General features: G+C 40.3%; 1 protein-coding gene across 12 annotated transcripts in view; it reads right to left on the bottom strand.

Moving 5' to 3' along the window:
* Positions 1-18,518, bottom strand: part of UGGT1 (UDP-glucose glycoprotein glucosyltransferase 1) — a 104,478-nt gene that overhangs the window by 30,253 nt on the left and 55,707 nt on the right. For 8 of the 12 annotated variants that reach the window (NR_027671.3, NM_020120.4, XM_006712634.4 and 5 more), the window contains 8 exons: positions 12,521-12,641; positions 9,838-9,936; positions 9,010-9,033; positions 8,079-8,173; positions 5,705-5,911; positions 4,834-4,965; positions 4,157-4,287; positions 600-695 (listed from right to left, as the gene is read on the bottom strand). Coding sequence is in view for 11 of the 12 variants with exons in the window: in NM_020120.4 (NP_064505.1) it covers positions 600-695; positions 4,157-4,287; positions 4,834-4,965; positions 5,705-5,911; positions 8,079-8,173; positions 9,010-9,033; positions 9,838-9,936; positions 12,521-12,641 (905 nt within the window). In the remaining variant the exon portion in view is untranslated. Of the gene's footprint in view, positions 1-599; positions 696-4,156; positions 4,288-4,833; positions 4,966-5,704; positions 5,912-8,078; positions 8,174-9,009; positions 9,034-9,837; positions 9,937-11,477; positions 12,335-12,520; positions 12,642-18,518 lie in introns of those variants that run through there. The other 4 variants (XM_006712635.5, XM_047445121.1, XM_047445122.1 and 1 more) reach the window with 2 other exon arrangements.

Raw genomic sequence — 18,518 nt, 5'->3', positions numbered from 1 at the left:
CGCCCAGCCAATCTCTGTTTAATTTTTTTGTGAGACAGGGTCTCAGTCTGTTGCTCAGGCTGGAAGTGCAGTGATGAGATCATGGCTCACTGCAGCCTCTACCTCCAGAGTAGCTGGGACAACATGCACATGCCACCACACCCAGCTAATGTTTTAAAATTTTTTTGTAGAGACAGGGTCTCCCTTTGTTTGCTGGTCTCGAGCTTCTGGGCTCAAGCGATCCTCCCACACTGGCCTCCCAAAGTGCTGGAATTACAAGCATGAGCTATCTTGACCTGCCTGTGTTTATTCTCGAATTTAAGAAAAGTACAACTTCTCTGTTTAATTAAATGCAGTCTATTTTCTACTACAAGGGTGCACTCAGAGTTATTTCAGATTCATTTAGAAATAAATGTCAGTTTTCATACAACTGAGATTTGCATATGAATTTTATATATGAACACAAATATATACATGTGAAAACTGCACACCAAACAAATGTTCAATTCCTGTAAGAACTTATATATAAATCTTATATGGAAAAATGAAGGAGCTGAGGTAAAGCAAACATAAGAGTTTAATATTCAAGAATATGCACAAATTCAACATTAATTCTATACCTGTGTCTGTCTTCAAAAAACTGGTACTCGATTCTTGGATCTCCTTTTGGTTGCGCTGACAGAAGAGCATCCACCTTCATTACCAAGTCGCTTGCCCTGAAAGAAGGGGTTAGAGAAATCTTAACATCTTTTTAACTGAAAGTTTTCCAATTATTGCCAAACATATCATCAGCCCAAATACTGAATTCTAACAAGATGGTTTGAACAAGGTATAAAGTCCGTACTGATAGGCATGAGAAAGAGTGATTAGTGGTATAACCTTGGAGAAGTTACTCACTTTCCCACATGTGAAATGGAGACAGCACCCACGCTGCATGACTCTAGTAAAACTGCACAACTCTGCAATGCACCTAGCTGAGGCCCTGGCCCATTACAGGCTGTCAGTATTATTTACATTCTCCCTTGTCCTTTTAAAACTATTACTTTTTATGACTATTAGAGTAATAATTCACTGGAAAATAAACATAAAAGCCAAAAATTGAAATTACACATAATATCAAGTAACAAGGTCTGATATTTTGGCTCATAATTCTATACTTTTAAATACATATAAACAAATTATACTGGCAGCCTGCTTTTTCACTTAAAAACATATTATAAAAATCCTTTCCTTGGTTAATAAATACAGTGATATTTCAATATTTTTGTTTGTTTGTTTGTTTGTTTGAGTCAGGGTCTCACTCTAGTTGCCCAGGGCTTGATCTCAGCATCCTCGACCTTCCAGGCTCAGGTGATTCTCCCACCTCAGCCTCCCGACTGGCTGGGACTACAGGCATGCAGCACCAGGCCCAGCTAATTTTTATGTATTTTTAGTACAGACAGGGTTTTAGTACAGGCCAGGCTGGTCTTGAACTCCTGGGCTCACACAATCTGCCCATCTCAACCTCCCAAAGTGCTGGGATTACAGGTGTGAGCCACCGTGCCCAGCCTATTTCAATATATTTATGACTGCATAATGTTACATTTATGGATACAAAATAATCTAAATATTAAGCCAACTACTGAACATCTGTGTTGTTTCTAATTTCACTATTACAATTAACACTGAAGTAAACCACTTTAAAAAGAATTTTATTGTCCCTGCCTCTTCTAAAATTAATTTTTTTTTTTTTGAGACGGAGTCTCACTCTATCGCCCAGGCTGGAGTGCAGTGGCGCGATCTCGCTCACTGCAAGCTCTGCCTCCCGGGTTCACGCCATTCTCCTGCCTCAGCCTCCTGAGTAGCTGGGATCACAGGCGCCCGCCACCATGCCCGGCTAATTTTTTGTATTTTTAGTAGAGACGGGGTTTCACCGTGTTAGCCAAGATGGTCTCGATCTCCTGACCTCATGATCCGCCCGCCTCGGCCTTCCCAAGTGCTGGGATTACAGGTGTGAGCCACCACGCCCAGCCTAAAATTGATTTCTAACTGAAAAAGATCTTGAACTAAACCTGAAAAAAAAAAAAAAAAAACACTCCAATTTGCTGAACCAAAGACTAAATCCTGAATAAGAATTTTAAAAGAGCACTGTGAATGTATTTGAACTGTAATTAAGCCTACATACATTTCCTATGAACCCAGCAAATATATAAAATTAACTATTTTGGTTCAACTTCTCAATATAAATGCCAAATATATATAATACAGGCCATTCTCTTCCTGTGATGTGTCAACACGGTTACAAAACATGTCAAGGGGCACTTGGTTACGTGGACTGGAGTGAGCAGGCCAACAAGAAACTCCCTGAAGGCTGATGAAGAACAATGATCAAAGTATACACAGCCAAGCTTCAGGGCAGCCTTGGGGATGCAGACTGGGTCATGAATGATAGCTGTGGCTGTCACGGGGAAGGGGGCCACTCCAAGGTGGAGCAGCTCTGGCGCTAATGAAAACCTGATGCAGACAAGGTAATTTTGGGAAGCCTAAGAGTTTTAGCATTAGTCTTTTGGCCCCATGACTACCTGATTTCCCTAAATTCACCCAGGAAAGATCGAGAGCCATCTCTCATTGGCAAAAGGCAAGTCTTCTAGGCACAGTCTGGCAGTTATATAGCCCAAGAAGACCCCAAGGAGCTCCCTGCAGTGGTCCAACAGCATGCCACACCAAGCCTATGCCTGTGACATGGCTGCTTCGAGTCACGAGTACCTCCTGACCTACATCAGGGAAGCATTTCACAGGTCGGGACAAGGGGCATCACTCAGGAGCCACTGAGGTAAGAGGGATGGATCCTCCTTATTTGTAGCCCCAGTATTGGCCAAAATGAGAAAAGATTTCTTCCCAGGTCATACAAGACATGGCAACAGCTGACTTTGACAGCTATCCAAGTCAACACTTCTCTAAAACATGCTCTTGAACTCTGCAGCATGATGATGTAAGAAAAAAACCCAGCAGAACTTTTTTTTTTTGGAGACACAGTCTCACTTTGTCACCCAAGCTGGAGTGCAGTGGCGCAATCTCAGCTCATTGCAACCTCGCAAGCAGAACTTTAAAATTTTATATCCTCCAACTATGCATCAAAGAACACATCTCCACAGAATAGGAGAAAATGTTTACAAATCATGTATCTAGTAAGAAAGTGACATCCAAAATGTATAAAGAACTGCTACATCTCAACGACAAAAAAAAAAAACGCAATTAAAAATGGGCAAAAGACTTGAATAGACATTTTCCCAAAGATATATAAATGGCCAATCTGCACATGACAAGATGCTCAACATCACCAATCATTAGGGAAATGTGAATCAAACCACAAGGAGACAGCACTTCATACCCACGAGGATGGCTATTATAAAAAGCAAACAAACAAACAAAAAACCCCCCAGAAAATTACAAGTGTTGTGAGGATGTGGAGAAACCGGCACCCTTGAGCATTGCCAGTGGGAATGTAAAATGGTACAGCCACTGTGGGAAAGGTATTGTGGTTCCTCAAACAATTAAACATAGAAATAGATCCTCCAACTACATAGTCATTTGATATTTAATGCAGAAACTACATATATGTAACAATGGACTCCAGGGTCCATCCAAACAATTTATTTTCTTCCATTAAGAAAATAACACACTAAAACACATCAGCTTATAATAACACTGAAAATTAAAATTAAAAACCGACAACAACCAATTCATCATCACCTTTGAAGATACAAGGGAAACAACTCAGTATTCTGCACTGGTAAATAAAAGAAACATTTAAACTGCCTTTCCTTTCCTGAACAAAATAAAACTGAAGGGTAACCAAATAGATAATGATGAAAAGTATCACTTTACATAAGTATTCCAGGTAATAAATAAACTAGCCTCTTTACTTCTGCATATATTTGAAATTTTCCACAACCAAAAATTATAAAAATAAAAAGAGAGAACTAGTTCAGTTCCTTAAATAGTACCCTACAAAATAAATTATCTTGTTTCAACAGAAGCATACATTAAAACTGGAATTGAAGAGTATTATTAGATTTTAAACTGGAAATAAAACTCCTTGGGATATGTAGTATGAGTAACAACATATAATTCTAACTGATCAATGAGGAAAGTCCAATTATATAACCCCTGTAATTCCTCCTATGGCAAAACTTACACATCTTCTTCTACCCGAAGCTGTTGAATATGAGATTTTATTTTCTGTCCTGAGGTTTTTAAGATGATATTTTCGAGGAGGTGGAAATCGTCTTGATTAAAGAGCTCACTATCCTCCAGTGGCCCAATGATCTGTGAAGGAGAGAAGAGCAGGCGCTTAGCTCTGGAAGGCTGCCTGCACTCAGCAAGCTGGTAAGGAACCCTCTGGCGTCCTCAGGCTACCTCATACGCCAGAACATCTTAAAGACCTGAGACAGGTACATGTTTAGATAAAATCAGTGAAATAATACAAAGTGAAGCCCAAAGCAAATACTTGTAGTTATTTACTTATCAATTCCTCAAGGACAAAGTAAAATAAAATCGTAAAGTAGTTTTCATTAATTCTACCTGAATAAAAACAACAAAGGCTACTTTATGTGTCAAAGTCCATACTGACTGACTTTCTGAGAGCCACCACACTCTCACCGACAGCAGGAAGGCTCCATATGGGGATATTTGTCTATGTCAAAAAGCACAGCTCCTTGGAAATAGGAGGCAGAAACATCAATGGCACTTCATAAGCCCCAATCACCTTTGAAAAAAGAGTGGCTCTGTCTGAAGAGTTTACTAGCTTCAGAGGAGAATGCTGCAAAGACTGTTCACGGATCTAATGTGAAGTCAAGCTTGACAAATCCTCACCCTTCCATTGCTGATCACTGCCCTCTGTCCCTTCTTCAGCTTCAGAACATCCCTGCAGTACACGGCATGAGACAAAATGAAATCCATTTTGGAAGACTCAAAGACCTCTTTAAAAAGACTGAAATCCATTCCCTAGGAAAGTAATCATTATTAAGGAAAAATAGTCGTTACTAAGCAAACCATATAAACAAATAAACACAGTGAATAAACCATAAAAATTTCTTTCCCTGGAAAGTAATAACTAATTTTCATAATTAACATTAAGATGTGTCAATTCTCCAGTCTCCCCGCCATCTCCCTACTACTTAGAGTAACTGCTATTTCCTTATCTTTTCCTGTGATTTGTTCGACTAGCAGACTATTCATCATTCCTTTACTCTGCATTTTTAAATCCTGCTAATTTCCAGTGACAGCCTGTTTTCCTAACTCAAACGTCAAATAGTATATACTCATCATTCTGTAAAAAATTTAAAAACTACAAAACTGTGTCAAAAAAATAAGTAACATAAAATATAAATGAATAAACACAGGCTTATTCTGGAAACACATCAAGAACATATAAGCCTTGAACCTATAAGTGGTTCAAATCTCCGTTTTTTGCTCTATAAATAAGCCATATTGTCTCTCTTAAAAACTGTGCATAACAAATGGCTCCATACTTAAAACACACAAAAACTCAAATCATGCACCACATGAAAGCTAGGCAAGGTTAAAAGTAATAAAGGGAAACTTCCAAATTAAAAAAAAAAATTCCCTGAGACTCAGGACTAAAATGACAAATCGTGATCATGAACCGGACACGTAAGCTGCAGTGGGTGAGCTTCCGTGGCAGACAAAATGGGGCAGCCTCATGAGAGGCTCAGAGCCTTACCCCAACAGAGAACTCCGCAATGTCAGCTCCTGCAGCCAGGGCCTCTGCAGCCCCCTCCTTGGCCATTTTGGTGATGAAGTTCTTAGCAGCGTTGGAAGTCTGAGTTTGGAGAGCTGCCCAGATTGCTCTGGAGATCTGAGTGTTCTCATAGCTTATCTCTTTGGCAGGATTATTGATCATGCTTATTCTAACATTGTTACTGGATTTCTGTTCACAAAATGGGAAACGGGAGTCATATTGTAGATATTTTTGAACTTAAAAAGCAGCATTAACATCAGTCATGTTCAATAAGTAGCAAATAATATCTCTCTTAAAAGTCTCAGGCCGGGCGCAGTGGCTCATGCCTGTAATCCCAGCACTTTGGAAAGCCAAAGCGGGCGGACCACGAGATCAGGAGTTCGAGACCAGCCTGGCCAACAGAGTGAAACTCTGTCTCTACTAAAAATACAAAAGATTAGCCAGGCATGGTGGTGGGCGCCTGTAATTCCAGCTACTCGCAAGGCTGTGGCAGGAGAATCGCTTGAACTCGGGAGGTGGAGGTTGCACTGAGCCAAGATCACACCACTGCACTCCAGCCTGGATGACAGAGTAAGACTCCGTCTCATTAAAAAAAAAAAAAAAAAAAAAGTCTCAGATAGTTCTCCTCCTCATTCAAAATAAAATTAAAAATGCCATCATCAAGCATTCAAAACCCTACATGAAGTGGCCCCCAGCCCACCTTTCCAACTTCATTTCTTACCTTCCCGGTAAATATAGCATAAATTACAGACCCTCAGAGTCCTATCTTTACCCAACACAGTTTATATTCTTATGCCACACATTTTGTATTCTTCTAACGCACTTGTTTTAGAAGTGTTTTCAGTGCTCTCCTCAAACCCTTCTTCATTCATACAGCCTTCCCACATTCCTAGTACAATTCAATCTCTCCCTGGGTGAAAAGACAAGAATCCAAGTGGAAGAATACACCCAGGACACACAAAGCCAAAAAAGGGCTTGTACCAATAACATAAGCAACAGACATTTATATTTGGGTGTACCAAAAGACATACGAGAATATTCATTGCAGCAGTCTTATAATAGCACCAAGCTAAAAACCCAACTGTCCTTCAAATAGCTTAAACAAATAAAACTTTGTGGTACAGCCATATGATATAATACTACAGAATGAAAAAGGACTCTATACCCCTACTTGTAACATCATGAATAAATCTTACAAAAGATTGGGTAAAGAAACCAAACACAAATGAAATTGCATAACATTCCATTTTAATAAACTAAAAGATAGGCAAACCTATTCCCTAATATGAGAAGAGGGAAGAGGCGTAGTGTCTGGGCACAAGTGTGGGTGGGCACAAGTGTGGGAGGGCTTTCAGGAACTTGAGAATTCTCTATTTTTTGACCTGAGTGGTGGTCACAAGAGTGTGTTCTCTTTGTGACACTGTGTGTCCTATGATTTGAGCACTTCTTGTGAACCTACATTTTACTTCAATTAAAATAGTTATTAAAAAATGCAACTCTCCTTCCCCATTCTCCTACCCTACTACCATTTGAAGATTTACGCATTTGTGTTAGAGTGCCTTTCACATATAACTATCGCCCTTAGCTAGAACTGCCCTGTTCTAACTTCAAATTGACCACAGCATTTGGTCCACTCCTTGAACAATAAAGGAACTCGGCATATGAGTAAAACTGAAACCACCTGGATATTTCTTTATTTCAGTAAACCTTCCCAGGTACAGGGTGGAAAGGGGACCATGAGGAGGGTTGTGAGGTATGGATGAAGATGCAAACTGAAACAGCCCAGGAAAAAGAATTTTGACATCTCATCCTCTAACGATGACACTCTCCAGAAGAATCAGCTGCTTCCCAACCACCTGCCATTGCCACTCACTCAAGCCCAACTATTAATGGCAGCATATCTTTTCAGAACACCTATGTGTGTATCCCTCAGTGCATCTGGATCTACTTCTACTAAACACACACACTACCATTCCTGTGTGCTACTGCCCCCATGTCCAGACCTCTGTCGTGGTAAGGACCCCATCTCCCCGATACAGTACACAACACAATTGTTGGAGCAACTCTGCTCCAAGAACATGAACAGGTATGCAATAAAACTTGTCTATGATGAGGATCTCGCTATTTATTTTTTTCTCTATAAGAATCTATCCCGTTCAACAAAGCCTGGATACTGTAGTCTTAGATCTCTTTTCTTGAGAGCTGGCAGATCTCTAGAGATACAATTCTCCGTTCCCTCGAGCATTAAGAAAGCAGGACTCCCAACTCCCACTGAACAATCCTAGCCGCACAGCGAAGCCCATGAAGACAACTACAGCCACAAACAAAAATATAAAATGAAGTCATAGATACTTGCCTGATGTTTGATGGCATCATACAGTAACTGCCGTCCAGAAGGGCTATCAAAATCCCCAACAATCCAAAAAGTTACTGGCCTAATAAAAGAATCATCTGTAGAAAAACAAAAACAGCTAATTGAGTCAGAGGAGAGAAGCACATTCTGTGTTTCAACATTCTGAAAATGAAATTGACCAAATAATTTGTAAGAACCATGCAAAAAGAAGAAAATGACAAGCTTAATAAAGATAGAAGAAAAAGTCGTAAACCTTTACTATAGGAAAGCAGGGGAATCTTCCACAGAGTTTAGTTACAGACTAGGAACATGCACTGATTAATTCTACTGATTAATGCACTGGTCTGGGCATCTGTTAGCATGTAAAATGAAAAACAGCCTTTGAACATGTGGGTAACATATTGTCATTTTTAATCATACTAATTTGTAATTTTCTGAAACTAATTCTTTACAAATGTTTATACAAAATTTATCTACATTGGCCGGGTGCAGTGGCTCACGCCTGTAATCCTAGCACTTTGGGAGGTTCAGGAGGGTGGATCACTTGAGGTCAGGAGTTCAAAACCAGCCTGGCCAAAATGGTAAAACCCCATCCCTACTAAAAATACAAAAAAGTTAGCTGGACGTGGTGGCGGGTGCCTGTAATCCCAGCTACTTGGAAGGCTGAGGCAGGAGAATCACTTGAAATCACTTGAACCCAGAAGGCGGAGCTTGCAGTGAGCCGAGATCATGGTACTGCACTCCAGCCTGGGTGACAGAATGAGACTCTGTCTCAAAAAAAAAAAAAAAAAAAATTATCTACATTGATATAGCTTCCTGTTACCCACAGATTCCGGAAACAGTACAATTAAGTGTTGATAAATTCTAAATTACAATGGTCACTGAAACCAAAGAAGAAAATTAAGAAATAGAACATTCTGAAGTTTTAAGTTACCATAGATTTCCTTGGAGGACATTCCTGAACAAAGGTAAAGAGAAAAGAGTAGAAAAAAAGTATCATTTCTGGAATGAATGCCTACTGTAAAAATTGAAAGTCTAAACAATGGCTAACACGGTCTATGGTTCTTCCTGCTGCTTAGTCCTGTCGGTGTCATGGCGCTGTCCCAGTACCCTAAGAAACAGTTTCTTTAAAGAACCAAATGGAGTAATTGCTTGTACTTTACATACAGCTGAGAAACCAGAACTTCTCTTGGGGAGAGACCACAGCGGGGATTTAAAAAGGCGGTAAAAATAGCTGACTTAAAATAACAGCCAGTGCTTTTCTGAAGCACTGACCCGAGGGCGACAGAATCTGTCCGCCACTACAGGGCGTCATTTTACACAATCTTAGCCTAAATAAATACCTCTGCATAAAATCAGCTTCAAAGATTATACAAGGCTTTCTAAAACCAACTTTATCTTATAAACCCCAAAATAATATTAACCCTGTACAGTCATTTTTAATTCATTAACCCATTTTTACATCACAAATGTTTTTCCATTTGAACTATGAAATATTTTTCCTTTTGACTTTAGTCAAAAGGTAAAACAGGTAATACAAAATTTATGAAGACATCTGAATTTTTAAACAAATATATACTTTCAACAAATATACAAAGAATTAAACTTTAAATAGATATGTTCTAGACTCAAAGCTTTATAAGAAATAAGAAAAATTATGAAGTCTCTTTCCCTTTTCTCTCTTAATTTGCACATTAAGATGAATATGCAAATACTTTCAAAAAAATGTTGAATGCAAGATAATAAGCCTCAAATGGATTACCTTTCTTTGTCAGATAGTTCATACTATTGGCTACAGCAGCAGTCTTGCCTTGGGAATCCAAGATAGTAAATCTAGCATAATCATCCACAAAGAAGTTATCTGGGAGAAAAAATGAAATACGTATATATTAGTTCCAGTTCAATCTATTCTTAATATTCAACTGATAACCTGACTTGATCATAATATAAGATTTATAGAAATGCGTGAGTGAAGTATATTAAGTTCCATGTTTACTGAACAACTTCACAACATGGCCCCTATCCCTACTGAAGTCACACATCAAAGACACAAGGTTGATGGAAACATACATATCTCACACAGCTATCATATAAGTATGTGTCAGTTTAATGGCTGAATTCATCCTATTCCCATTCCTGTCACTTGTCAACTGGAGGACAATCTCAAAGAGATCCCCTTAACTCATTTCTCCCTTCCCTAGTCCAACCAGTGGAGTAAGCTCTTCCTGTTCCTACAGAGGAAGCAGGGGTAAAAGAGAAAATACGTAAGAAAACTGATTTTTATTTTTCAGGTCTAACAAAATATCACCTTTTAAACCCTTAACAGAAATAAAAGGTCATTTTCACTCTTTTTGCATATGTCCCTTCTCCAATTAGTGTCAAAGGGCAATCCTCATTACTCATTTTCCCTCAAATTATTATTCCTAGAATTCCAGTTTCATCAAGTCATTCTCTTGCTCTAAACTACCCAGTAATTTCTTACAGCCTAGTACTGTAAACTCTCTGTCTCTAACAATCTCCCCAATCTTAAACATTATTGCACCCTATACAAATGTCAGTCTTCTCATCACAGTCTGTCAGACACAGCTTGCCTGCCTACCCACTCATTTATTCATCTGTGCACATGCTCATCCATCTACACTGTCACTTGACAATGCACACTGAACACCTACTATCCATAGAATACTATCCAGGAAAACCGTAGAAAATAAGTCACACACGGTCCATGATATCACGTGGGGGAAGGGAGAGCACACCATGCCGATAAAAATTAGTATAAAATTAAAAATTTTACCATGCTGGTAAAAATTAGTATCCTACTAAAAAGGTTCCAGGACAGCCAAAGCCAAAGAAACCTGAGTGACAATGCCACCACCACCAGGTCAAGAGGATGCCAGAGCCTCCTAATTGATGTCTGCACTATGTTCAGCTGACAGGTGGCACTTTGCCACTGTGGACTAGCACTGTTTCATAGCTCATTGCTGCAACACTCAATGGAAAAGGAAATTCAAAAACAAAACCGCTATTATGTTCCTTATTCATGTGTATTCCAGAGACAACCCTTCAAATTTAAATAAAAATGATGAAAACAATAAACACTTAGGATGAAGAGCCACAACACGCTCACCTTGCTCTACTGAAACTTCAGGGAAGAAAGGAAAACCCGGCTGTGAAGAAAAAGCTCACTTTCTGGGTAGTTTCTTTCTCAAATATAAGCCTATATTTACACTTTTTCCTCAGTGTGTGTGTGCTTATGTATAGGAGTGTGTGTGTGTGTGTGTGTGTGTGTATATATACATGTATTTTTCCTCTACCTAAAACAAACTTTCAGTTTCAAGTCTATTAGAGATAGTGCATTACGTTAACAACCATAAATAGATTGATATGTTCATTATACTCAACTATAACAATAAATAGCTGGTTATGACTTCATTACACACATCTTTCCTTCCCCAGTGAGATTTCATGGGCTAGTGATGACAGTTCCATCTTATTTCCAGGTGTTTGCTGAAGAGGCCTCAGAATCTCGAGGAAGGCACAAGGAACAAATTGCACCTGGGCTTAACATATTTGGCTCTTATAAGGTATTCTAGCAGAAAACTGCCAACTGTCCACCAACTGAGGAACAGATATATGTGGACTATCCATAAAGTGGACTATAAAAAGGAATGAAATGCTGACATACACAACAACATGCATAAGCCTTAACAATATGCTAAATTAAACAAGCCAGGCACAAAAGGCTTCCAATTATATGAAATGTCTAGAATAGGCAAATCCATAGACACAGAAAGTAGATTAGTTGTTGCCAGAGGATAGGGGAAGGGAGGAACAGAGAGTGACTACTAATAGGTACATGGAATTCTGGGGAATTTTTGGGGGGTGATGATAATGATGTATCATTAGACAGTGGTGATGACTGCACAAACTTTGTGGGGTTTTTTTCATTAAAAAAACCATTGAATTGTATACTTTAAAAGGTTGAGTTTTATGGCATATACATCATATCTTGATGAAGCTGCTAAAGGCCTTCCTAAGTTCTCAGAGTAAAATTCACTGAGATATTTGTTGACATTATGGCTGACTGACTCTAGAATGAGGATGAAGAAAGAGAACTGCTTTATGACTAGAGAAGCGAACAATCCAGGTCCATTCTCATCATCTATTGTCTGTTTAGTTGGCATTTAAATGGCACTAAATATTTTTCAAAGTTCACAGGGTTTTGCCCAGAAGATGTTTTCTTCTTTAGGAGGAAACTCTTGTGAATTTAGAATCTCATATTATGAACTAAAGGTGCAAAGAGTTTACACATAAAATTTTGTCACAATCTTGGGCTATCTTCTGAACACTGCAGAAGATAATCAGAATATTAAAATCTGAAAAATGTAAAGATTCTGAAGCACAAGTCAAAAAAAGCATAAGGTTGTTCCTGAAATGCTCCTTACTACTCGCTGTTAAATCCAGGTAGTCTCGTTCAGCTGTCAAAATCCTAGAATTGATTCGTGGAACAACATTTGGCTGATTCATGATATACTCTACCACATCTTGATCATGGGGCAGTTCACCCTGCAAGAAAAAAAAAGGAGGTTGAGGGGGGAGGGTAAAGCAAATTTTAGCAATAATAATTCATTAGGAACCAAAAAATTATTAACTTTATAAATGGCTTCCTCTGTGCTAATAATAGTTAAGACAGAAGTTACTATGTTATTGGTCCCTGTCACTGCCGAGTATACCTGGGCACATCACCTACAGCATCTCTACCTCTATCAACAACGTGAGGCAGATATTGTTGACATTCATTGTAAAGATGAGGAAGCTAAGGCACAGAAAGGTTAAATAACTTACTCAAACTCACAAAGCTAATGCAAAGTGATTATGAAATGCAAACCCAGGCCAGGAATGGTGGCTCATGCCTGTAATCCCAGCACTTTGGGAGGCTGAGGAAGGCAGATCACTTGAGGTTATGAGTTCAAGACCAGCCTGGCCAACATGCCATCTTTACTAAAAATACAAAAGTAGCCGGGCATGGTGGCAGGTGCCGGTAATCCCAGCTTCTCAGGAAGCTGAGGCAGGAGAATCACTTGAACCTGGGAGGCAGAGGTTGCAGTGAGCCAAGATCATGCCACTGCACTGGGCTACAGAGTGAGACTCTGTCCCAAGGAAAAAAAAAAAATAGGAAAAGGTCTTCTCTCAAGCAGTTAATATACTTTGTAATAAAAACCACTCCCATCTTTGTTCAATCTCAGCCATCCAAATAAACTTACATCTCCAGAGTCAGAATTACAATGAGAGGATAGGAAATCATTGTCATTTATTCTTCCCTTTTGCACAGCTAATATTACAGAAATAGTTATACTTCTTGAAGGTGATCTCAGAGCCATGTGTCAACAACTGTGCAAATGTGCAGATTTATCAAACTTAAAATATTTAACACACAGGTATACTTTAAAGTCATTTTCTTTTTTTTTCCTTTGAGACAAGGTCTTGCTCTTTCATCCAGGCTGGAGTGTAGTAGTATAATCAAAACCACAGCTCACTGCAGCCTTGACCTCCAGGGCTCAAGGGATCTTCCTACCTTAACCTCCCAAATAGCTGGGACTACAGGCATGTGCCACCACACCCAGCTAATTTTTGTATTTTTGTAGAGATGGGGTTTCACCACATTGCCCAGGCTAGTCTCAAACTCCTGGGCTCAAGAGATCCTCTCTCACCGTGCCCGACCTGAAGTCATTTTCAAGATAAAAGATGTGAATCAAATATACACATTCAAGTCTAAATAATTCCAATTAGACATTATTTGTAGCTATTTAATAAGGAGCATATGAACCAATCATACAAATCAAAAGACAAAGATATTAGATGGCTCACTGTACATGTTGGCCCATGTATACAACTTTGGTCAATATTATAAATCTACTTGACTCCAATTAGAAGCCCATCGAGTTCAAGGAGGGGAATTTGGCAAAGTCTATAAAAATTTTAAAAGTAGGGTTGCAGGGCCTGGGGAAGGCGTGGCAGGCGCCATGTCTGCCTGTGAAGGTGCTGCTGAAACAGCCCAAGAAGCAGGCCAAGGAGATGGACGAGGAAGGTAAGACTTTCAAGCAGAAACAAAAAGAGGAGCAGAAGAAACAAAAATAGGAGCTAAAATAGAAGGCTATGGGGAAGGGACCCCTGGCTGCAGGTGAAATTAAGAAATCTGGGCCGGGTGCAATGGCTCATGCCTATAATCCCAGCACTTTGGGAGGCTGAGGCGGGTGGATAACCTGAGGTCAGGAGTTCAAGACCAGCCTAGCCAAAATGGCAAAACCCTGTCTCTACTAAAAATACAAAAATTAGCCGGGCATGGTGGCGGGCGCCTGTAATCTCAGCTACTCAGGAGCCTGAGGCAGGTGAATCACCTGAATCTGGGATGCAGAAGTTGCAGTAAACCGAGATCACACCACTGAACTCTAGCCTGGGTGACAAAGCGAGGCTCCATCTCAAAAACAGAAAAGAAAAAAAAATCTGGCAACAAGTAAGCTGTGCCTTGTGCCTGAGGAGATGGTGACCCTTGATTTCATTCATATTTAAACATCTGTATTCCCTGCCATAGCATCTTTTGCCACCTATAGCTGGAATGAAGTGTTGTCCTGAAGCCTGTTGTACATATAAGAATAAACATTTGTAAAAAAAAAAAAAAAAGTTATTAATTAAAAAAAATAAATAATTGTAAATGTAACACCTTCTGACCAGCCCTTGTATACACACACATGCACACATGCGTGCACACACAGACACACACACACACACATGGTAGTTGTCTTGAGGAAGAAATCATGAGTAGTACAGCACAGGGGTGTATGGCTAAAAGTTTCTCTTCATTTACATTTCTGTTTTGAATTTCATACCACTGGCATAGCATATCTCTTAATTCTTTTTAAAGAAACAAGGTCATGCCCTGTTGCTCAGACTAGAGTGCAGTGGCATGATTATAGCCCACTACAGCCTCAATCCTCAAGCAACCCTCCTGCCTTAGTCTCCCGAAGTAGCTCAGACTACAGGTGCATGCCACAATGCCTGGCTAATTTTTTTTATTTTGTAGAGATGAGGTCTCGTTATGTTAGCCAGGCTGGTCTCAATCTCCTGGGCTCAACTAATCCTCCAGCCTCAGCCTCTCGAAGTGTTGTATTACAGGCGTCAGCCACCACAACTGGCTGATAACACATCTTTTTGTAGTGCATTTAGTTCAAATTTTCCAGTACTTGGTATTTTTCAAGACAATGTACAAAGGTATATACATATTAGAATATTCACTGTAGCACTGTCTGTAACTAGTGAAAATGTAGAAGTAATGTCCAATACTAGGGAATGAAGTAAATGTTTATTTTATTTTACTTATATATTTTTTGAGACAGAGTTTCACTCTTGTCGCCCAGGCTGGAGTGCAATGTCACGATCTTGGCTCACTGCAACCTCGGCCTCCTGCGTTCAAGCGATTCTCCTGCCTCAGCCTCCCGAGTAGCTGGGATTACAGGCATGAGCCACCACGCCCAGCTAATTATTATTATTATTTTTTTTTTTTCTTGAGACGGAGTCTTGCTCTGTCACCCTGGCTGGAGTGCAGTGGCGCAATCTCGGCTGCACTTGGTTCCCAGAGGGAACCTCTGCCTCCCAGGTTCAAGCGATTCTCCTGCCTCAGCCTCCTGAGTAGCTGGGACTACAGGCGCCCGCCACCATGTCCAGCTAATTTTTTTTTTTTTTGGATTTTTAGTAGAGATGGGGTTTCACCATGTTAGCCAGAATGATCTTGATCTCCTGACCTCATGATCCGCCCACCTCGGTTTCCCAAGTGAGCCACCGCGCCCGGCCTAATTTTTTTTGTGTGTTTTTAGTAGAGACAGGGTTTCACCGTGTTAGCCAGGATGGTCTCAATCTCCTGACCTCATTATCCGCCCGCCTCGGCCTCCCAAAGTGCTGGGATTACAGGCATGAGCCATCGCGCCCGGCCTATTTTTTATAATGGAATACTGGCCAGGCACGATGGCTCATGCCTATAATCCCAGCACTTTGGGAGGCCAAGGTAGACAAATTGCTTGAGCCCAAGAGTTGGAGAACAGCCTGGGCAACCTGGCAAAATCCCAACTCTTCAAAACATACAAAAATTAGCTGCATGTGGTGGCATACACCTATGGTCCCAGCTACTTGGAAGGCTGTGGCAGGAGGACTGCTTGAGCCCAGAAGTTCAAGGCTGCAGTGAGCTATGATCACAATCCCTACACTCCAGCCTGGGTGACAGAGAGACCCTGTCTCAAAAAAAGTTTTGGTAAGGAAAGTGACCTTTGTAACAATTAATTTGCCCCACTACTATTTACATCTCCCCAGCTGCACAAAGCCTTGAAAATCAATGGCCCCAAAATAAAACAACTAGGACACTAGAGAATTCTCAGGGGTTCTCTTTATTTGGGCTGAACCAGACCTCACTCAGTGCCAACAGCCTTTTCCCTGGGGGTATCTGTCAAACACAACTGGGCAATTGTTTAACATCTTAGCTGCCTGAGGTGGCAGATAACACATGGGCTAACACAAAGCTGGTCAAAAAACAAAGAAAAAAAAAGGCTGGGGAATGGGATGTCCATAAGGGACTTTGAAAAGCTCTGACAAACTTCTTGGAATTTGAGAGACCATAAGCACCATGCCCAGGGGTACGTGAATGCCCAGGGAAAATCTTAGAAGGTCTTAAACCCTTGCCTCTAACCTTGGGGCTCTGTGCAAGCAAAAATGGAAGACTAAGGCAGAGTTGCCAACTGCCTGGTTGAGTGTGGAAAGTGTGCCCCAACACAACACAGAGACCCTTGGGGAAAACTGGGAGACTTTTTGAATTCATGCATCAAAGGAAATCTCTGTTCGTTCATCAGCTGACCAGTAAGTTAAACAAGCTGAAACTTCAGAAGCCACACATGAAAAAGAATACAGATGTTAAGGAATTGGTTCAGGGCCGAGCATGGTGGCACATGCCTGTAGTCACAGCACTTTGGAAGGCCGAGGTGAGTGGATCACTTGAGGACAGGAGTTCGAGACCAATGTTCTGAAATTAGAGCCTGGCCGATGTGGTAAAACCCCATCTCTACTAAAAATATAAAAATTAGTTGGGTGTGGTGGTGTGCTCCTGTAATCCCAGCTACTCGGGAGGCTGAGGCAGGAGAATCACTTGAACCCAGGAGGCGGAGGTTGCAGTGAGCTGAGATGGCACCACTGCACTCCAGCCTGGGCAATAGAGCGAAACTCTGTCTCAAAAAAAGGAAAGAAAATAAAAGAAAGAATTGGTTCAGGAAAGTCACTAAACAAATAACAGTTACAACAACAACAAAGAACAACATAAACCCTGGTACGGTGAAGAAGTGTCACATTATATTATTTCAAATTCCTAGTTGTCAAAAACAAAATTATTAAATATGCAGAAATGGTGGCTCATGCCTGTAATCCCAGCACTGTGGGAGGCCAAGGCGGAAAGATCACTTGGGCCCAGGAGTTCGCGACCTGAGACCTGCCTGGGCAACATAGAAAGATCTCATCTCCACAAAAAGATACAAAAATTAGCCATGTATGGTGGCATGCACCTATAGTCCCAGCTACTCGAGAGGCTGAGTTGGGAAGATCATTTAAGTCCAGGAGTTGGAGGCCACAGTGAGCTAAGATCATGTCACTGTACTCCAACCCGGGTGACAGAGCGAGACCCTGTATCAGAAACAAAAAAAAAAAGACATGCAGAAAGAAAAAAGTATGGTGTATACTCAGGAAGAGAAGAGGCCAAGACATACTATTCTTACTATTATATAAGTAAAATGTGTAATGTATATTCTTACATTATGTTCATATTATTCTGAGTAAGTCCAAACATTGGACTTAATTAGAAAAAGAATTTAAATAAATGATTTCAAATATATTCAAGAACTAAAAGAAACCATGTCTACCAAAGTAAAGTTTAAGACCAACATCTCACCAAATAATATCTATAAACCAAAGGAAATTATCAAAAAGAACCAAATAGAAATCTGGATTTATAATAACTGAAATGAAGCATTCACTAGAGAGGCTCAATAGCAGATTTTAGTTGACAGAAGAAAGAATAAGTGAATTTGAAGATAGATAAACTGAGATTATCCAGTCTGAGGAACATAAAGAGATCTGTGGGACATGAGAGAGTACCACCATGTGCATATTTCCAGAATGAGAGGAGGGAAGAGAAAAGGACTGTGTGTGGTAAATAATTTGGCTGGCCCTAGTTTCTGGGATGTAAACTCTAAATCCAGTGATAGGAGTGTCTTTGTCATTCATGGTGAGCCCCTTAGGACACACATGGTGGTTTATACTACGGGTTGATGCACAGTGGGGCCCGAGAGTCTGTGCTAATGCAATGACTCAGGTTGGGGGCTGGTAACACTAGAAAGACCAACCACATGATTA

Source organism: Homo sapiens, chromosome 2, assembly GCF_000001405.40.
Source record: "Homo sapiens chromosome 2, GRCh38.p14 Primary Assembly".
Classification (NCBI taxonomy): domain Eukaryota; kingdom Metazoa; phylum Chordata; class Mammalia; order Primates; family Hominidae; genus Homo; species Homo sapiens.
This window is presented reverse-complemented; position numbering and strand designations above follow the sequence as displayed.